Source organism: Homo sapiens, chromosome 12 (genome assembly GCF_000001405.40).
Source record: "Homo sapiens chromosome 12, GRCh38.p14 Primary Assembly".
Classification (NCBI taxonomy): Eukaryota; Metazoa; Chordata; class Mammalia; order Primates; family Hominidae; genus Homo; species Homo sapiens.
In genome coordinates, this window is record NC_000012.12 from 67,870,009 (window position 1) to 67,892,451 (window position 22,443).

General features: G+C 40.7%; 2 annotated features.

Annotated features, from left to right (window-relative positions):
- Nucleotides 6,762-7,262: an enhancer, noted in NCBI's record as "H3K27ac hESC enhancer chr12:68270550-68271050 (GRCh37/hg19 assembly coordinates)". NCBI's record gives its function as "activates a minimal SCP1, AML or CMV promoter by ChIP-STARR-seq in naive H9 embryonic stem cells {active_cell/tissue: H9 hESC(naive)}" and the evidence as "EXISTENCE:reporter gene assay evidence [ECO:0000049][PMID:30033119]".
- Nucleotides 7,263-7,763: an enhancer, noted in NCBI's record as "H3K27ac hESC enhancer chr12:68271051-68271551 (GRCh37/hg19 assembly coordinates)". NCBI's record gives its function as "activates a minimal SCP1, AML or CMV promoter by ChIP-STARR-seq in naive H9 embryonic stem cells {active_cell/tissue: H9 hESC(naive)}" and the evidence as "EXISTENCE:reporter gene assay evidence [ECO:0000049][PMID:30033119]".

Genomic DNA, 22,443 nt, shown 5'->3' on the forward strand with positions numbered 1-22,443 from the left:
GGCCTAGGCACCAGAGGGAATCTCCTGGTCTGCTGGCTGCGAAGACTGGGAAAAGCGCAGTATCTGGGCCAGAGTGCACCGTTCCTCCCGGTACAGTCTCTCATGGCGTCCCTTGGCTGGGGGAGGGGAATCCCTCGACCCCCTGTGCTTCCCAGGTGAGGCAACCCCCGACCCTGCTTCAGCTCACCCTCTGTGGGCTGCACCCACTGTCCAACCAGTTCCAGTGAGATAAACCAGGTATCTCAGTTGGAAATGCAGAAATCACCCACCTTCTGCATCAATCTCTCTGGTAGCTGAAGACCAAAGCTGTTCCTATTCGGCCATCTTGCCATCAGAACCCCCAAGATTAGTTACAGATGTAATTTTTTCCCCACCAAGAACAGCTTTGCAGGGTCCTTTCAAAATATGGCAAAGAAACATGTTTTGGGGGTAAAATATTTTTACTTTCTTGTCACATAATGTTATGTCAGGGTCAGATTGGAAAGTAAGTCACAATATATAAGGTTAAGTAAAACCCATCTGATGAGAATTTATGGTTTGTAGGACATGACACCTCAGACCCTTTAGATAGGAATTTGGTCAAGATAAAATAATCAGAGCTTAGTCCTTACATCCATGAGTGGTGAGATGACAATAGAAGAATGGGGGCCGGGGGTGGGGTGGGTCAGAAATGCTATCTTTTATTCCTTTTCTTTTTAAAATCTCAATATGGTCCCTAGCATAGCACCAACTAGTGGGGCACCTTGTAAATGATTACGAGCTGATTATTTGAACTCATGGAAGCACTAGAAAGATGTCCTAAAAATCTACTTCAGAATTATCAGGTAAACACAATGAAAACCGCATCTTTGTAAGTACAGAAACACACATTATTGGAAGGGTTCTGATCGATGACACAACAAAAAACGTAGACTCAAGTGAGAATATCTAATTAGGATCAGGTGAGAGGATGTGGATGGAGGTGTTTTGCAAACTGTCAAGTGTCTCATGGATATAATGAACACATGAGAGTTGCTGTGAATATTGAAGAAAGGTCTGAACAGTCACAATCTTCCATCAGACTACAATGAAACTCTACTGCATACCAATATTTTTGGTGGCAGCAATGTACCCAGGTTTTTTTAAAAAATCATTTTCTAAGGTACTTTATAGACAGCAGTGGTTATGTGATAAAATACTCACCAATGAGATGAAAGATGAAATCTATGATAGGGCTTTTAAGAAAAATACTGATTTCCTGACTTAAAGAGAAGTAAACTTCAACGGCATATGCCTTTGCTCTTCACTCCTTGCTCTTTTTCCTTTTACCTGCTTGGAATGCAATTACAATCTGAGGGTGCAGTAGCTATCATGTGACTATACGGAAAATCTACTTCTCAAGGGTATTGGAGACAGACAAGAGAAGAAATGAGATTCCCCGGCAGAATCCTTAAGCTACTACACTGGCACTGAGCTGTTATCTCCAAACTTCTTGTTATGTGAACAAAAATAATCATTTACTTAACTAATCCACGGTTATAAAGGTTTTCTGCTACTTACTGCTGAATGCAATCATAATAGCTGATTTATCTATCCTTGTAAAATGCCTAACATTCATATGTAAAATTAATAATACTAAAAAGTCTGTTGAGTTACAGGTACCTGATGTTGGACTAGGCTCACCCTCTAGTTAAGTGATCTGTCCATGCCCATAGCCTCACAGCCTTTGAAGTTCAAATTTGTGTTACAGCGAAGTGGTAAGTTTCTACATGCAGAACTTCGTGGTCACTTTTGAATGTTAAATCTTTTATTGCTAAAAGTTTGGCTGTTTTGGATGTCGACAAAGAGTTGAACTCTAAAATATTGGAGATTTATTCTGAGCCAAATATAAATGACCATGGTCTGTGACACAGCCCTTAGGAGGTCCTGTGCCCAAGGTGGTCAGGGCTCAGCTTTGTTTTATACATTTTAGACAGGCATGAAACATCAGTCAAATACACTTAAGAAATACATTGGTTTGGTCCAGAAAAGTGGAACAACTCAAAGCCAGGGGGCTTCCAGGCTATAGGTGAATTTAAACATTTTCTGGTTGACAATTGGTTGAGTTTGTCTAAAGACCTGGGATGACAGAAGGGAAATATTCAGGTTAAGATAAAGATTGTGGAGACCAAAGTTCTTTTGAAGTCTTATAGTGGCTGCCCTTAGAGACAATAGGATAACAAATGTTTCCTATTCAGATTTTAGGTAATCTCTTTAGGATTGGGAGGGTCTGAAAGAAAAAGATCTAGCTATGTTAATAGAGATTCTTTACAGATGAACATTTTCCCCCACAAAGAACAGCTTTGCAGGGCCATTTCAAAATATGACAAAGAAACATATTTTGGGGTAAAATATGTTGATTTTCTTCTTTGTCTCATAATGTTATACCAGAGTCAGGTTGGAAAGCAAATCACGATCTGTAGGCTTAAATAAAACCCATCTGATGAGAATGTATTATTTTTAGGGCATGACTCCCCAGATCCCTTAGATAGGAATTTGGGTGAGATAAAAAAAAATCAGAGTTTAGTCCTCATGGATTTTGAGTACAGTTAATATACCCTACAACTCAGAAAACGCAGGAGGAATTTTAACTCCATGGCCAGAATTTCTCTAAATGGCTTCTTAACAATTATCCAATGACTACAACACTAAACTCTAGAATACATATATGTTTTAAAAAAAACTTTCATCTAATTCAAGATACGCTATCTCCTTTCACATATTGAATAGACTATCCCATTTGTTATATATAAAAGAAAAAACAGTAAAATATCATTTGAAAGGGATGTGGACTAAGGGCTGCTTGAGCAACCTTTTTGGGCCCTGTGAGTTCCCCACATAGCTCTTGGACTGTATTATGGCTGTGGCACTCCCCTAAAACTGAGATCTTCATATGTGATAGATTTCTGGGGGTGAGATTTCAGTATTTCTCAGAACAATTTCTGTAATATATCAGACCTGAGAAATGCTTTTGAACAAAAGGGTGTAACTGAGAAATACTTCATTGACTATCCTTCTTTAAATAGTCACAGTAAATGTTAGCTTATTAAAGGCACCGAGCAGTTTCACAGTAAAAACACTTGTTAATATTTTTTTAACTCAGCATAGTTCATAGAACCCTTTTCTTTTATAATGCTTACTTCTATAGAGCCCTTTTGAGATGGGGGCTTAGAATACCATCATGATCTAGCTGAAAGAAATCTAGTTGAAGAAAATTTGACATCGTTTTCAATTTTCTTTCTTGGTTTTTTTTTTTTTTTTTTTTTTTTTTTTGAGATAGGATCTCACTCTGTTGCCCAGGCTGGAGTGCAGTGGCATGATCATAGCTTACTACAGCATCGACCTCCTGGTCTCAAGTGGTCCTCCCACCTTGACCTCCCAAAGCACTGGGATTACATGCATGAACCACCATACTTAGCCTTTCCTTGATATTTTTCAAGTATTTTTTTTTTTTGCCTTAAGTTGTTTTACCCATTAGAAGAACTTGCAGACAACATTAAACAGAATAGCACTAACCTGCTATGCAAATTCAGTCACATAAATAACTTCATTTCCTCTTTCTTAACTGAGATTGTTTGCTGAGAATCTCCAAGACTCTTCTGTTGGAAAACAAAACAAAACAAAACAAAACAGTGATTCTATTCTGTTTTTATTAATGATATATCTTTGAGTGTTTTCTTCCAACTGGTTGAATAAACACCACTGCTGTCTATCTCTATCCCAAAATGGAATTGCCCTGGGGTGACAAGTCACTTTTCTATCTCTGTAGAAGTCTGATTCTCCTTATTTCCAGAGCTGATGAAAGCTACAATTAACACATGTGAGCTGTCTATTAGCATGGTCTGTGAGACCTTGGAACATGTTTGGAGATGTGGGGCAGCCTTAAGGATAGAGATAAGCTTATTCTCAACATCTACAACAAATAGAGCAAGCAAAAAAGGACACAGACTCCTACACAAATAATGCAAATGACACTATTGAAAGCCAGCCTAGAGAGACAGTTGTTAATAGGGCAGATCACAATTAGTGACATATTTCTCCTAATGTTTTTTAAAATTGCATGAGTGCCTGTTTTATAGAGTAGGGGATAGACCAGAGACTATAGCAAAGTCTTTTAAAACTACTATTACATTTTAACTACTTTTAAAATTTGTTGGGTTGGTCTTCTACTTATACAACATTTTTAGACAAATTGCTTTTATTATATTCATTTGACAAACATTTACTGAGCACCTGCCTTTTGCAAAGCATCATGTCAAAAAGTCTGATGGTGTGGCAGGTGATATTTTCCAAATTGACTCCCATCCCACATGCCCTTAAAATGTACCTTCAACACTACCATCGGGAGGTGTGATCTATATTTCCTCCTTTTTGAAATTGGGTGGGCTTTTGTGACCAACAGAGTATGGTGAAAGTAATACAGTAACATTTTTGAGGCTGTCATCACAGGCCATACAGCTTCTACCTTGCTCACTGGAATTGTCTCTTGAAACTCTGAGCTGCCATATATGCAGTTTTAATGCCCTAAGGCTATGATGCTGAACCGAAGTCCAAACTAACCCATGTGGAGAGACTATTTAAGAGCAGTCCTGAGACCACATGAAGATTGTTGATAGATACCAAGCCAGACCCCAGCTACTCCAGTCCTCATTCCCATTGTCATAGCTCCAGCCACCATCTGACTACAGCCACATCCTAGACTGTAAGCCAGAGCTGCTCCACCAAGCCCTTCCCAAATTCCTGACTTACAGAGACAAATGATTTTTGTCTGAAGCCACTAAATTTGGGGATAAAATTGTTACACAGTGATAGATAACTGAAACAGAGGAATACAGTGATGACAGTTCATGATCTTTGGGCCCAGAGAATCATAAATTCCAGGTGGGAAGCCCAGATATGCACAAAGGAGAACAAAAGAATGAATGAAGGGAAGAAACAGACCGAAATGGCTTGCAATGGGCTAGCTGTAGCACGAGGTGACTCAGGTTCTTTTTTTTTTTTTGAGTCTTGCTCTGTTGCCCGGGCTGGAATGCAGTGGCTCGATCTCGGCTCACTGCAAGCTCCGCCTCCCAGGTTCACGCCATTCTCCTGCCTCAGCCTCCTGAGTAGCTGTGACTACAGGTGGCCACCACCACGCCCAGCTAATTTTTTTGTATTTTTAGTAGAGATCGGGTTTCAACATGTTAGCCAGGATGGTCTTGATCTCCTGACCTCGTGATCTGCCCATCTCAGCCTCCCAAAGTGCTGGGATTACAGGCTTGAACCACCACCCCCGGCCTGTGACTCAGGTTTTCAAACTAGTATGGAGAAGCCCTATCAAATCTCAGACCCATAGCATATTGTTGAGAGTCTCAACAGGTCCTGAAGGCCAAAGAGTTGTCAAGGAATGGAGCTTCAGATTTATGGCTGGTGTTTGAAATTTCCACAATCTTAAGTTTGAAGTAACTTGAATTTACACGTTTGGGATGAATAATAAGCAGCAGCATATATATGCATTATATTGTTTGACCATCATAAAAGCCTAATAGGTGTCCGTCTGGCCGAGCTTTATAATTCTACTGGATTATTTATTTAAAAAAATTAAGAAAGGCCTCACTCAAATTATTCAATTAAACATATTTATTGCATGCTTACTCTGGGCAAAAAGGCAACGCAATAAACCTAATAGCAGAGAAATAACAGTTCTTGTCATCATGTAGTTTAAACACTAGTTGGACACTTGTAGCATAGAATGACACACACACAAATAATTGACAGCAGTGAGGAAGAAATGTTAAGTGTACAATGTTAAGTACAAATTAAATATAGAGTTTAATATATTTGTCTATCATAGTCTTTTGCTTCAGATTACCCTTGCTCTACATGCTTTTCATGGTTCTGACCCAATTCTGATAATAAAAATCTAAACTCAGCCAGGTGTGGTGGCTCACACCTGTAATCCCAGCACTTTGGGAGGTCGAGGTGGGCAGATCACAAGGTGAGGGGATCGAGACCATCCTGGCCAACATGGTGAAACCCTGTCTCTACTAAAAATACAAAAATTATTTGGACATAGTGGTGCGTGCCTGTAATCCCAGCTACTTGGGAGGCTGAGGCAGGAGAATCACTTGAACCCAGGAGGCAGAGGTTGCAGTAAGCCGAGATTACACCACTGCACTTCAGCCTGGGCAACAGAGTTAGACTCCGTCTCAAAAAGGGAAAGGGAAAGGTAGAGGGAGAGGGAGAATATAATTGCTTGGGGCAATGTCGAGGCAGGCCCTGAGTTCACATGAGATCTCGTCATTTACCATTGTGTGGCACCACTCCCCACCCTTTCTCTCTTGCTCCTGCTTTCATCATGTGAAGTGCCTGCTCACCCTTTGCCTTGTGTCATGATTGGAAGCTTCCTGAGGCCTCCCCAGAAGCAGATGCCACTATGCTTCCTGTGCAGCCTGCTGAAGTGTAAGACAATTAAACCTCTTATGAGCTACCCAGTCTCAGGTATTCCTTTGTAGAAGTGGAAGAATGATCTAATACAATGCCATAGAAGCAGTTCCTGGACCACATAAAGCCATGTGGCTTTATGGTGATCAGGATATTCACCTGCTGTTTATGCCTGTTACCCAGGTCATGGTAAATGTTGTGGTCAAGGGTGCCCCTTTTGCATGGACACCACATGTAAGGATACTGCTGCAAAATTGAGCTGTGGTCAGAGAAGCCTTGTCAAATTTGCTGTCTTCCTTCCCCACATGAGTCTTACAGATGCTAATAAAAACAGTAGGTTAATTAACAAGAGAATGGAGAAAGGCAGAGGGGAAAGTCAAAGAGTTCATCTCAGGCAGGTGGAAATTTTAAAATGGTTATTAAGAAATGAGATGAACAAAGAAAAAAAGGAAAGGGGAGAGTCATGAGATTTGTTCCAGGGTGGAAATCTTTAGATGGTTATTAAGAAATAGGATGAATAAAATGGAAATTGATACGGTTAAATCAAAGGTCTTAATACAACACTATAGAAGGTTGGGTGGACCAAAGGGAGCCTCTGCTGGTCCCCCAACAGTAAGGGGTTCCAAACAGGTTTGCTGTATTTACCCCAGTTTGGGGAAATTTTAAAAGTCAGAAGGCAAAGATTACAATGAGAAAGCTGACCAACAATAGCTTGGAGCAATGTTGAGGCAGGTTAATTCAGAAAGATTGACAAAAAGGCCAGGGACATTTGGCTCAACCTGCTGCTAAGGACCCAAAGCCTTTTGCCCAAGAGAAGGTAGTCTGGGGGTGGAGAAGAGGTCACGCGACTTGAACATAAAAATGTAAGGGTTGGCCGGGCGTGGTGGATCACGCCTGTAATCCCAGCACTTTGGGAGGCTGAGGTGGGTGGATCACGAGGTCAGGAGATCGAGACCACCCTGGCTAACACGGTGAAACCCCGTCTCTACTAAAAATACAAAAAATTAGCAGGGTGTGGTGGTAGGTGCCTGTAGTCCCAGCTACTTGGGAGGCTGAGACAGGAGAATGGCATGAACCCGGGAGGTGGAGCTTGCAGTGAGCCAAGATCAAGCCACTGCACTCCAGCCTGGGTGACAGAGCAAGACTCCGTCTCAAAAAAAAAAAAAAAGAAAAAAAAATGTAAGAGTTGGTAGCATAGTGAAATTTGGAATATTTAAACAGGCTGTAAGTAAAGTAATTTGCATCTCCTTTTTAATAGCAATGGGATATTTTATCTGACTGGGGGATGTCCCCTCTACCTAATATTGTAAAAGAGAAGGCATAAAAATCTGCCCTCTGAGCAATATTAAACATGCTAAATGGGAACCAGTAAGACACCCTAAGCCCGCACAGTATATAATAGAAGCTGAAGTGCTCGTAGGGACAAATTCTCCATTTGCTAGTTCTTTGTGGAACAGTTACTAGGACTTACGGCAAAAGCCTTTGAGGGCCTCTCAATGATAACTACAAGGACTTTGGACTTTGATAATTTCCACTTGAGGGGCATTTACAGCCTTGCAATAGAACTTTAACTGAAGCTATCCCTGTGACTGAAGGACATAACATGATCTTGAAATCTGGAATATGCATGCTGTCTTGGTGATGTCAGGGAAACACTCTATTAGGGATAGTGGTTCCCAGAAGAGTTCCATAGTAAAATGGAGATGATTTATACAGGGCCATGCTACCTAGGGAATTCAAAGAACAGACACTCAAGAGCAGGGAACATCTTTTCCCCTAGGACTGACTCTGGAACTGTGTGAGGAGCTGCTGGATTCTATGGACACTTGGATAGTGCCCTATAGCTCTTGACTACAGCTCTTGACTGACCAACAAAGAGCTGCTTGGTGTGTGGATGGCAGTTCCAAGGGGAATGGACAACATCCTAATTAAAAGGATGGCACTCTGGTTGAACAACGTAAAAACGAATCAGCTCAGTGAGCTAAATTGCATGCCGCCTTCCTAACACTGATGAAGTAATTGGACAGTGGTAAAAGCCCCTGTGTTTGGGTTTTTACTGGCTTGTGGGCAGTGGCCAATGGCCTGGCCACACATGGTCACACAGAAGGGCAGTAGAAACCTGGCCTTTTAAAGGGATGCTCATATGGAGCTTGGCCCTCTGGAAATATGAAAGGTGCCTTAAGGTGGGCTGTGTAGATGTACATTGGAAGAGCCTCCTTCCAGGGTGGGAAGGTGACTGGAATCAACAAGCAGATATCCTTGTGTGCTCCCTTGAGGTGGCCACCTGAGTCCATGAAATGAGTGGATATGGGGGACCTGCAGAAGTGTAAGGAGGGGCCGGATCTAGGCATGTTCCTTTCGCACCCTCTCTGGAACACGATGCCAGTAAGAACTGTTCTGTTACTCAGCAAGTGAGACAGAGACTGCAGATGGCTATGGGACAGATTTCATGATGGGAAGGCCCTGGACACAGCTGGTGAGTGAGACCGATGCTGTTAGCCCTGGGAGGCTACAAATGGTTCTTGACAGGAGGAGACACTGATTCTGGAGTGGGTTTTCCTTACCTGGTGGAAGATGCAAATACTCAGAGTGCCACTAACAACAACAATAACAAAAATAGAACAGAAGATATTGCTCGGATTTGGTCAGCCAACTGTTATTTCTTCAGACTAAGGAATACACTATGCAGCCAACAATGTTCAACAATGGGCAAAAAGATCTCCTCCTCAGAATAATGATTTTTTGATAGGAGAAGTGGAACAGGCAATTAAAACATTGGTTGTCTAAAATGGGGAAGGATAAAAGCACAAGAGGCTGGTTTACACGCCTTCATGAGGTTGTGCTCACACCCAACATGAGGGAGACTAAAGGAGTGTCGCCACTAAAATTTCCTATCTTTTTCTGGTTGATCTGGGGAAGAGGGGATGTGGAAGCATGCTGGAAAAACTATGTAATTTCTGCGAAGGGAGGAGTACACTGGCATAATGATTATGATGTTTTCTTTCTTCTCCACAACGTCTCTTTCTCTCTTTTCTCCTGTATTTGATGCAGTGGTTCTGGGACCAGGGCTGCAACAAGTGCTGGAAGCAAGGATGATTCCTAAGCAAGAAACTGTCACTATGTTTTTAAACCTTATGTCAGAATTTCTAAAGGCCTGACAGGCTTAAGGGGGATGGATTGTGCCTTCACCCCATTTGGCAAAACTGAGCTTAACAGTGGATACAGTTATGTTGCCTGGGGATCCACTATTGCTGCACCTATGTAACCCATTATGTATGTATGTATGTATGTATGTATGTATGTATGTATGTATGTATGTATCCTTACCCCATCTGAATGGGAGTGGACTGAGGGGAGGCATACACTAGACTGCTATTGCTGCCTGCAATCTAAACAGCACAGCAACAACGCTAACGCTCCTTGCAAAGGTTTTTAATGAAGGATGGAAAAATAGTAGCTGAGGATAAAGGAATAAATGGGTTATGAAGTCAGGGAAATCCAATATTACATTAACACCTCAAAAGAGGCTCAGAGCAAGAGATATCATTGTCGCTTAGCTCAGTGGTAACAGATGCCTGAAAGGGTGAAGCTTCGTTTGCGGAGATCACTCCTGTTTTTGGAACATGGCAAGATTGAACGGAAGCCTGCAAACCTGAGTGGCCTTGCCCTGGGAGACACATTCTTAGGACATAATGATGGGCTGGACTAATGACTAATGTGACTGAATGGGAGTCTGATAATGTGCCAGTATCTTTTGAGTTGTGTGTTGTTTTGATGGAAGGAATCCAGGGTTACACAAAGAATGATAAAGTGAAGTGCCTTTTACCCCGTTTTGTGTCTTCTTAACTATGTGGCCTTAGGTAACTTAGTTTACTCTTCTGAGTTGTTCATCTGTAAAAGAGGAATAGCTATAATAATTTCTACTTCATAGGGCTTTGGAGAAGTGATCCCTTCTTTCCTCAGGGAATTAATCTGACCCCTTCAAAGGTGGGTGTAGAACAGAACTCTCAGACTTCCTACAGCACAGATATTGGACCAATCACAAACTGTGCCCCTACTTAGGGAAAATTGACCCAAAAGGAAGTACAATTTGGCCAAGATTTTCTCCTTGCTGGAGTCCTCTGTCTTAGGGGCTGGCACACTCAAGGAGTAGGCTGGAAAGGCAGAAGCAACTTGTGGTTAAGCCCTTCACATCTGAAGTCAGACTGCCTGAGTTCAAATCCCATTTCTGTGACCTGTTAGCTGCATGGCCTGGGGCAGTTACTTAACTCTATGTCTTCATTTTCCATCTGGAGAATGGGGACAATAGTATCTACATCCTAGAATTGGTACACAATTGAACAGTGTTTAGAACATAAGTATTAGCGATTATTACAAGTTTATAAATATTAACGGAGATACAAAATTGAAGTAATACCCAGTCCCACTTTGGATCTAAAATGGCCAAGTAGTTGAGGCAAAATTATTTTGGTGTTATACTCTTTTTATTCAGAATGATGTCAATTTTCTACTTTGCTAGTTTGAACCTGACCTCAGAAATGACACCACCACCATGATCTTCTTGAATCACTGTAACTTCCTTGTCATGCCCTTGCGGTTCTCCAAGTCTTGAGAGGTCCAATAAATCAGATAAACTTTTCCATATCACTTCACCAGACTCTGCTAACCCTAAGAGAGCAAGGTGCTGTCTAATGCATAATTATTTGGTTTAATAAAAGGAAATTTGGCTGAAAGCAGTTATCACCATAGATATAGAATCATAAAAAGTTGGTAGGGTACAGAATGGGCACCATGAAAATTTCACAAGGTTGAAATCAGGGCAAAGCTCAGCATGTGGGGTGAGCTGGAAGAATGCTCTCAGCAAAGTGGTTATTAATATCTACTAAAGAACCTGACCTTTGTTGCTGTAAACAAGACCAGATAATTACATGTTCCTTCGAAGAGCAACCTTGAGATGAAAATTGAGGCATTTGTCAAAGGGAACAGGAAAGTAATTTGTACTAAAATGAAACAGTTTTGGTATTAATATCTAACAGCTTTGGCCCTTGTCATGAAAGATTTGTTATGTTAGGTAATAATTATAATTAACATTCTTGTCTATGAGGCTTCTTCTTCTCATTTTCCAGAGAAAGGGGCCTAAAGGAATGTGATAGTCTGTGGGAAGGACTATTTTTCCCTCCTTTTTTTCCAGTGGGTTCATTCTTTTCCCTGTCTCAATTATTTATCCAAGATGAAGATGCTTTTGGGTCATAGAGTCATGATTATAAACAGGCCCAGGCAAGTAAGGTGAGCATCCTCCAGCTCTGGAAACACTTTTTCCACCACTGACTCACAAGCAGGTGAGAAACAAACCTTAAAGCCCAGTTTGTTTATAGTTACTATCTTGCTGTGGTGCCCTGTCACTCCTTTCTGTTCCCGAAGGTAAGATACGTTTTCAGGGAAAGAATTAATGAGAATTACCAAAGTGTAAAACAGTCATTTTAATTTAACATTCTTTTTCCTGACTCTTTTAGTTACACACTCTAAAATACTAGACTTATGTGAAAATGACAGGATATAAACAAATGAAATACATGAAAGGATCACTCATTTCCAAGTCAAATTTCATTTTCATTCTTCAGGGTTACATCTTGTCTCTTTTCATTTTTTCCATTCTCATTCTTTCAGGTTAAATGAAAGCACTTTCATTAGTAAATGAAATAACTGGCTTTTATCCAGGTCAGATGGTCAACAGGGGGTTATCCTTGCTAATACTGTCACATTATTCCAGAAACATACCTTGATGCCTTGTGCCACATTACAGTGTTGTTAAAGAAACCAGGACAAGGATCTTCAGTTCCTGCTCTATGCCATGCAACATATTTTGTACTGCACAGTTGATACAAAGGGTATAGGAGTAGATTCCTCTCGGACCACTCAAATTTTAAAAGTTAAAGAGCATTCTAAGATTTAAATAGTGTATCAAGATGCTGAAGTAGACATGTCTTTAAGTCATATACATCAGTTGGCAAATGGACCAACAATTACTGTTGAATTAATAACAAATACTGTTAAAGTAGAGGGTAAATGCAAGTATTTTAATCTGGATTTTCCAGATCATTTAGAAAGTGAAATTTGAGCTGGGTTCAATAGGGAGGTAAGCAGCAGATTTTAAGACAGGTGGAATGAACTTGGTAAAAACAGGGCAGTGAGCAAGCACCTGGTATATTTCATAAAGAAAGTGAACCCATTCCATCGGAGCAGAGGTTTAGTAAAAAGGTGACGAGGAACAGGCTGGAAAGCAGGCTGAGGTCAGATTGTGGAGGCCTGTTACATTTCCAAAACAGTATTTGTAATCTATTTTCTTGGGAATGGGAAACTATTGAAAGTTTATTAATATTAAGCAAGGAGGACAAGACAGTTTGCAATCAAACCTAGTGTGAGAATGAAACAGGGATTAAATTATTCAACTAAATCATGGACAGGAATGTGATTGCTTGAAGGCATACACACTCAAGGCAGATTTGCCAGGCTTCCCTCCAACCTGGCCAGCATGGAGAAGGAGCAGCTGTGATGGAGTGGAAAATGCGTGGTCTGGGTACACACAGACATGATTTCCAGTCACTTCCCAGCTACTTTCTTGTTGTTTAACTTTGGGCATTTCCTTAATTCCCCTGATACTCTATTTTCTCATCTGTAAAGTGGAGATACAACATCTACTTCACCATGTTGTTAGGAGTAATTAGAAATGATATATGAGTTTCTGGATCATAGTTTATACTCAATGAATGGTAGCTGTATTAATTTTAATTGGAATTATATTTATTGTAATTGTGTATCAGTCATCTCATATATTAAATAGAAGCTTGAAAATTGTAGCAGGACCAATTCTGATTTATTAACCATATTTCCCCACCCCCCCGCCCCCCAAAAAAAATGCTTGTTAAAAATATTTGGTTGGCAGTGAGTAACCAAGTCATCTTTATAGATGAATATCAACACCTTCTAGGTAGAGTGATGGTACTGTTTGGGAGGACAAGTGCTTTGTCTCCCCTAAGGAAAGTAGCAGCTGAGAACCCAGTGATTTCACTGACACCTTGGCTGGGGACACAGGAAATCTCAATCACTGAGACTCCATGGTGAGGAAGGCAGGGAGTAGGGGCACCCGAGGACCTTGATCTGCCCTCCCTCTTGCCTCTGTGGGGGCTCCATACTAGAAGGATGGGAAGCAGATCAAGCATTGGGTGACACAGATCTGGTTTCAAATTCTGGCTCTGCAATTTACCAACTGGGAATCCAGTACAAGTTGCTTAGACTCTTTGAGCCTCACAAGTTCCATCATTAAAAGAAGGATGATAATCCTTTGCAGGGTTGTTGTGGGAATTAAATGAGCTAATATGAAGGAAGATCCTGATTTCAAATAGGCCCTCAGTACATGGTGGCAATGACAATTCTCCTCATTCTCTCACTTTTTCTTCCTTCCAGCCTCCCTTCACTGCCTGAGACTCTTTTCAGGAAGGACATGAGCCAATGCAGTCCATGAGAGCTGGCTACGGAAGGGGACATCCTTGCTCCTTCTTACCCCTGCTTATCCTCAGCTGTAATCTGGTGACTAAATGGCTTCTCCTTCCATCAGCAAGGGGACAGTGAAACCAGGCACTGTGTTGGTCACTCTGGATAAAACCCTTAACTGATGACTCCATTGGTAAGGACAAAGCAGAGTGAAATACCTGATAATGAGGTAAATCTCTTTTGGAACCTGAAGAAAGGTGAGAAGTGAATGGGTGTTAGTAGGACGATAAGAGAAGAAAAATTCTCAAAGATGGAAGGAGGAGAAAGTAAAAAGAACCAATTGTAGGGCAGTATTTTAAACAAGTGTTTTTTTCATTTATCAATTAGAGAATCTGACTTTTTTTATTTCTTAAGCCAGTTGTTCTTAGAAAATTGCCATCTTCCACATTTCTTATTCAGATACCTCCACAAAAGGAGAAATTTGGCAGCTTTATATTCTGGGGTTTTGTGAGAAAAATTCATTTTGTCACCCAGAGTCAGCTGCTGAGAAAAAAAAATAGCAGCAGGACCTTTTCCTCTCGTTGTTATTCAAATACAACCCAGTTCTCCAGGCTGACCGAGGAATAAGTTGGAAGCAAGCAGTGAGCAGAGACTAATGCCTTAATTGGCTATTAATATATGGTCACTGCTATTCTTAGAAATAACTGGTGTTTCAATAACTACCTCAAAAATGGAGTTCAGATTTCATGGCTGTGTTCTATCACACATAAAACCAGGAAGAGTTGATGGGTAATAGGTTGGACCACGATTCATTTCTGGAAAGCTCCAGTTACATTTGCTATTGCTGTAAAAAGTCGTGCTTGGAAAGTTGCCTGGTAACCTGATTTATCTTGAATATTAATAATTCACCCATCAGGAAACTACCTTGCCTGTAACTCAGTGTCAAAATTGAACACCTCTTTGACTATGTGGTCTGCAAGGTAATGGTGGTGGGGTTGGAAGTAAATTAGTTAAATGTGGTTAGAGAATGAATCTGATAATGTGTTTATCCAACTTGGGAAGAATTTAGATGTTGTTAAAGGATATAAAGTATATAATCTTAAAGAATTGAAATGGGGATTTCTTTTTAAGTTCTACATAATTGTTACTTGATAAACTCAGATGACGTCTCACACTGAAAGTTCACTAACCACATAATTAATAGGGACATGTATTATTGATGTACTAAGACTACTTAATAGCACTTTGGTTCCATTTACAGAAGGATAAAATAGTCACCAGGCGTGAGATCAATAAATCACAAGTTTTGAGTGTTATATTTACAACCTGAGAGTCAAGTAACTCTTCATCATTGAACAGTCTCCCACTTGGAACTATGAGTGACCTGTTTCAGGTTTGTTGAGTGCCCTTGTGAAAAAATTCTAAGCTATGGAAACCATTATTTTCCCCCTGTGAAATTTCCCCATAGTACTTAGTTGGGCCTCCTTCCCTATGTGGACGCTTTGAGATGTCACAGAGGCAAGCAGTACCAAAGATCATGAAAGATTTGGTAGTTACAAACACCTTGGTTCGCATCCAGCAACTATCTCCCAAATTCAGCTGGGTCTGACATAGCAGCTGAGCTTCCTGCTCAATTTGGCCCCAACTCTGCCCAGACAGAGGACTTCTCTGTTTCCACTAGAACGAGCCAGGAACAAAAACTCCATCCATCTAAAAATGCTTGAAATAATTCTAGTGTTGGGGAAGACAAAGAGAAAATAACCGTGTGGTTTCACTGTAAGGATTTAGGTATAAGGAAGGGAAATGGTGTCAGTCAGGGATTACATCCTCATATGCCACTTGAGGAACCAAATACCTCCTAAGAAACAACCCACATCCGACCCTAAACCCTCAGATGCCAGGAATCATTAAGAGCATTCACCACAGGAGAAAATTTCTCTGTTAAACTAAAGATAAACCACTGTGCCCCAATTCCCAGATGATGGAAATCGGGCTTTAAATGATATAATGAGTCACATTTGCATTCTTTTTAGAAGATAAACAGCCAATTTATTTTTTGCCTTGAATGGCATGTCTTTTAGTAATGTGATTGAGGAGATAAAATAACCAGTGGTAACTGATTAACTATTTTAAGTCATTGTGTTCAAAACGTGTGATATATTAGTTCACTTATCCAGAAGTGATCTCAATGATTAGGAGTTGAGCCAAGGAAATAAGCAAAGCAGCTAAGTGAAGGGTAAGCAACTGAAATACTTACAAACTGAACCCTCTCTCTTATGCTCTGAACTCACAGAAAAGGGCCTTAGAGCACTCCCCAGTATCTATTTATTTTATTTAAGATACAATTCTAATAGCAAAATGGAAATAGTTGTTGCAAAGAGATAAAAAGGATGCTGTCCAAGTCAGGCAACTGAAAGTGGCAAGAAATGACAGAACTGACAATGATAAAAGAAATGGATAAATCAAAATGGCAGGAAAAAAAAATTCATGAACATTTTCTCAGTGTGGGACCATTCTGCGTAGAGTAAAATAAAAATAATTAAGCAAAACACAGATTTGGTGTTCATATTTCATAACCCTCTAATATCAGAAAATATGCGATCTGTGTTAGGAAGACAATTGATGTATCTTAGAAATAGTTCCAACATAAAAGGTTAAGTTATTTTAAATTCAGTCATCTTGAAAATAAGTGCAATGCTAACTCCTCATGTTGTTCTTCATGGATTACAAGGAAGCAGTGGAGTATCACAGTTAAAAGGATGCATATGGTTCCCAACTGCCCAGATTTCAAATCCCAGCTATGCCGTGTGTGACCTTGGACAACTCACTTAACGTCTCTGAAGCTCAATTCCTCCACTGCAAAATGGGTAGTGGTAAGGATTTAATGAGTTAATGTATATAAAGCATTGGAAGAGTACCTGGCACATAGTAAGTGTTAGATAAGCATTCTCTACAAAGATATTTGCATTTACCAAGTACCTAATGTGTGTCAGGTACTGGGAAGGGTGCTGTGATCTTTATCATTATATTTTATAAGATTTTACTACATGAAGTGAAACACCAGAATCTTGCCTTCAATATTCCTCAAGCCCAACGTAACCGGCAATAAAGAGTTATCAACCCTAGTACAACACAATGTAATCCATTATACCTAAAGTTCTTTTAACCTGATTTCTGCCATAGTAATTAACTTTTGTTTCTTGAAACTTTATGTCCATTTTGGTTGGCTACTATTCTATCTCTCTGTGAAATGTTCCCCTCTCTTCATTTTGCATGTATATTCATCACCTCTTCTGTTCAGTTACTATTTTAGACCTCAAGGATCCAATGATCTGGGAACACAGTTCATCTGAGGATAGGCATTACAAGGTAAACACAGTGTTGATAAAAGTTCTGTGTCCCTGATGGTGTCAAGAAGAAATGTGCCATCATTTTCAGGTAAAAACAACAACAAATAAACAAACAAAACTAAAACAACCAGGAAATCTGCATCTGCTTCCTGAAATATGTCCACAAAAATCAAATAGGTATAGATATACTTTTGCCTTAAACAGATAAATGAAATTTTTGAGTATCAAAAAATTATTTTCAACATCCACAAAATACTGAAACAGTACTCTTTAAAACAGTCAAGGTAATGACAAACAAGGAAAGACAGAGAAAATGTCACAGACCAGAGAAGACACGGCATGATGACTGAATGTAAGGGAGTGTCCTGAATTGGATCCTAGAACAGATAAAGATTATTAGTAAAAAGCAGTTGAAATTTGCACAAGGACTGGAGTTTAGTTAATAGTAATGTATAAATGTTAACCTCATAATTTTGATGACTGTAATGTGGTTATGTACAATGTTAGCACTGAGGAAACTAGGTTAGGGGTATTCAAGAACTCTCTGTACTATCTTTGCAACTTTTCCAGAAATCTAAAGTGATTCCAAAATAAAAAGTGTATTTAGAAAAGTATTTTCAGATCTTTGAGAGGCAGGAGAGCGGGAACAACATGCACCTTAATGTCAGAAGGTTGAGTTTGTGTTTCCCTTTCACCACCATCCAACAAGATGACTTAATGCAAGTTGGTTGAGCCTCAGGATTCACATTCATAAAAGGGGGGGATACAATTTCTACCTTATACAGTGTTATTGAAAAGAACAAATAAAAAATTCATGAACCCATACAAAAAGTAACCATAGGCACAACTATTTTTCCAAACCCTGATTTACAGCTTCAATCTAACCTTAAAACTATTTACTCAATTGACACATACATTTTTCTTATTTTACTTTTCGAAAAAGATCAATAAATGATCTGTGATGCCTTCAATAGAGAAAAATTAAGAGTTGGATATCAGTCTCAGAGGGTTTACATTTTCAAGATGTTTTTCTTTCAAAAGTAACATTGAGCTTGTTGAACTTGACAAATTAGTGTTTTTTCGGAAAATCTCCTGCACTGATCTGGGGTGTCCCTGGGTGTGTATGAAGACTTGGGCAAGAAAGAGCTCAAGAAAAATTCATGGATTTGGTGTATTACTTTAGGGTTGCGTGATTCTGACTAACTTTAAGCCAAAACTAGGTAGAGGCAAAACGTTGCTGTGGAAGTTGTGAGAAAGTCCTTGGCAGAAAGAGCAGGCAGTGAGAGGAACAGGGGTGAAATTATCCTTTCATTTTCTGGAAGGTACTGCCAGTGAAGTGGTTAAGAGTATAGGCTTTTGATCCAGACCTTCTGGATTTGAAGCCAAACTCTGACTCTTCCTTTTTAGAGCTTGGGCAGGTGACTTAAGCTCTGTGTCTTGTTTAAAGATAATTAATAAGGACATGATCCTATCTGTATTTTGGAAAACTCCTCTGGAAGCAGTGTGGATGATCGATTAGAGCAACATCAGACCCAACAAGGGCCGTGGTAGAGAAGCCAGCACAATAGTAGAGAGGTGATGAGGGCCTAAGCTGCACAGGGAGCCCTGAGCATGGGGAGAAGGAGTCTAGAAAACCATGAAGGAGATGGGTATCAGCAGAAAGTGGGGGAATCAGGGAAAGAAAGGACTCTAGATGGATTCTTAGGCTCCTGGAGACTGGGATTTTGTCCATTAACCAAGATAGAGAATCATGGAAGAGTAGGGAAAAGTCATGCTTGTGATTTGGGACATACTACATGTTTGTGTTTGGGGACATTAAGAAGGAAATGCCTATCTGGGACAGGAACTTGTGTTTTATCTCATATACCACTCTGAGTAAATGGGAGCTTAAAGAGAGTTAAGTACAAGATAGGGGTTAAGAATGCTGTTTCTTTGACTTACTAGCTGTGTGTTTAAAAGGGTCAATTGTTTAACTTTTCTGCTGCTTTTTCTTTTGTTTTGTTTTGTTTGTTTGTTTGTTTTAAGACAGAGTTTTGCTCTTGTTGCCCAGGCTGGAGTGTAATGGCACGATCTCAGCTCACTGCAACCTCCACCTCCCAAGTTCAAGCAATTCTCCTGCCTCAGCCTCCATAGGCATCCACCACCACGCCCGGCCAATTTTGTATTTCTAGTAGAGGCGGGGTTTCTCCATGTTGTTCAAGCTGGTCTCGAACTCCGTCCTCAGGTGATCCGTCTGCCTCAGCCTCCCAAAGTTTTGGGATCACAGGCATGAGCCACTGCACCTGGCTAAGTTTGTTTGTAACATGGAAGAACAACGGGCTGGTCGTGGTGGCTCATGCCTGTAACCCCAGCACTTTGGGAGGCCCAGGAGGGCGGATCACTTGAGGCCAGGAGTTTGAGATCAGCCTGGCCAACATGGTGAAGCCCCATCTCTACTAAAAAAATACAAAAAAATAGCCAAGTGTGGTGGTGTGCACCTGTAGTCTCAGCTGCCAGGGAGGCTGAGGCACTAGAATTGCTTGAACCCAGGAGGCAGAGGTTGCGGTGAGCCAAGATCGTGCCACTGTACTCCAGATTGGGCAACAGAGCCTCAAAAAAAATAAATAAAAATAAATGGGAACAACAATAGCCATCTTTTAGAGTTGCTGTCAGAATTAAAGGAGATAATCATACAAAGAACTAGCCCTTTCCAACTCACTGTAAATCCTCAATCCATGTTAGCTTTTTGTAACATTAATAACATAGCAATAATAATTTGTAGCTTGAATAATAGTAAGTTGCCTAAAGAGATGTAGCTAAGGAAGTCTGAGTTAGCCTTTGGACTCTGAACTGCCTCTGCATTTAGCACACTGATATGCAGAGCAAGCTGTATCCACACTGATCTCAGTGTGCTGCAGTTTCAAAAGCTGTTCAGCTGGGATCAAGGAAAGCAATGACCGCCTACTCCCCAAATCCTTTCTATTTCGAAATTCCCAGGTCAATGATGACCATTGCCAGAGGGTCTCAGGAAGGTGGAATCCACATGGAGAGTTGGAAAAGGGAGGCCGAGGTGGGCAGATCACCTGAAGTCAGGAGTTCAAGACCAGCCTGGCCACCATGGCGAAACCTCGTCTCTACTAAAAAATACAAAAATTAGCTGGGTGTTGCAGTGGGTACCTGTAATTCCAGCTACTTAGGAGGCTGAGGCAGGGAGAACTGCTTGAACCCAGAAAGCGGAGGTTGCAGTGAGCTGTGATTGTGCCACTACACTCCAGCCTGCAACCCTGTCACAAAAAAAAAAAAAAAAAGAAAGAAAGAAAAAAAGAAAAATGAGTGGGAACTGAGGAAGTCTAAATAAAATTCTAAACAGCAAGTATAAACCTTTGTTTTTTCAATGAAGAGGAATCACTAGAGTGGACACAGGAGGATGGTGGAAATTGAAGACAGGTAAGAATAGAACACATTTATTGACGGAGAGGAGGGAGCTAGCAGAAAGTATGGTTAACAGAGAGAGAAAATAAGTGAAGACCCCAGTCCTTAAGGAAGGACTGTGAGGATGGGGCAAGAGGAGGGAAGGAAAAGCGTCACCTCTTCCACTGAGGGCTAGAAAGGAGGTGGAGACAAGTGCATAGGCATTTGCATGTCTGAGCAGGGCTTTGAAGAGGGTAAATGTCTAAAAGCCTCTAGCATCTCAGAAAAGTTGAAGATGAGGTTATATGCTACACTGGAGAGGAGTAGAGACAAGACTGGAAAATTTGAGTGCATGGCTTCAGGTCTGAAATAAACATTGGAAGGCGACAGAGAGGAAGTTGAACCAGTCTGTGTAGAAGGATGTGAGCACTGGGATTTCAAAGACGAGGTTTGTAGAGGCCCCAGTCTGCATCTTTATATGATTTCCTCCAGCATTTTTGTAACATTACATTGCATTTTGTAACATTGCTGAGCCCCTCTTTGAGTAATTGGCAGAAAAGGCTGAGTCCTCATAGAATTGTGTGCTATTTCTAAAACATATCCATGGTTTAAAAAGCTTTAAGATCTATAAACTAAAATCCACCCATTTTGCAGGATGATTCACAGTGTCGACAGTTTGGATCAATTTCCTGAAGAAAGGACAAAACTGGAAGCTATTCTTTATGTAAGTGAAATCTAGATTATCATTTTTCTTTGGGCTGAAACAACCATCCTTCATCTTCTACATTAAAATGCAGCTGAATTTGTAATTAGATCCCTGTCCAAAACTTGTATTCCCTTATTAAGAGAATTAATTGAGTTATCTCAGAAGAGAATATTGATTACATTGAGATTTGACTAATAAAAACTTCTCTCCAGAACTTATCTAAAGTGAGGTCTGGAACTAGGTCACCGTCACTCATGAGAAAGCCCTCAGAAACCAAGATAAGACAGAGAAGAAAGGGAATTCAGCACAAGGGTCAAGAAGCCAGGGCTGGGGGCATCCTTCAGTGGAGGAGAATAGCATTTGACAGCTGCCTCTAGAGAAAGTGGAAGATGTGCAGGGCTCGCAATGTTGGGCATGTTAACAGGGGGAGAAATCCGTGAAAAAGCTGTGAAAGGAAGTCTGTGCAACTGAATGAAGTGCTAAAACAGATGACTGATTTTAAAATTTAGGGGCTTGAGGGCAGAGTGTGCCTGTGGCTTTTTCTCTTTGTGCTAAGTGGTTTCCTGAGTGGACCCTGCCACAACTCACTATCACATCATGTTGAGGCTCTTCCTTTGTTTCTCCTTTCGTGTCAGTTTCCCTCATTTCTTCTGCACTGTAGCCCAAATAATAGACATCTCCATGCCTGCTCATTAATCCACAGGGCAAAGAAAAGAAGCATCTTTGAGGTGTTTGCATTTTAATGGGCTGTACACAGACAGGGTTCGCCTGCTTCTGATCCTGGAGGACTGAAGGAAGAGGAGGCTGGATCATATTTTCCCTTTCTTGTCTAATTTAACAAACCTGCTTGGCTACCAGCAAGAAGTTGACAGATTGCATACTGTCATCATTTAATCTAAAGACTAAAATTCAATTTTCCTTTCTCAGGATCAAAATTGGGAGCAGGGGGGAATAAAACACCCCAAAGACACAAGGTGACCTGTCTCAGTGGGGTGACCTAGTGCACCAGCCAGCTAATGATGCCCGTCTGTCAGCTGGGCCCCGGGTGCCAGAGCCCGAGGGAGA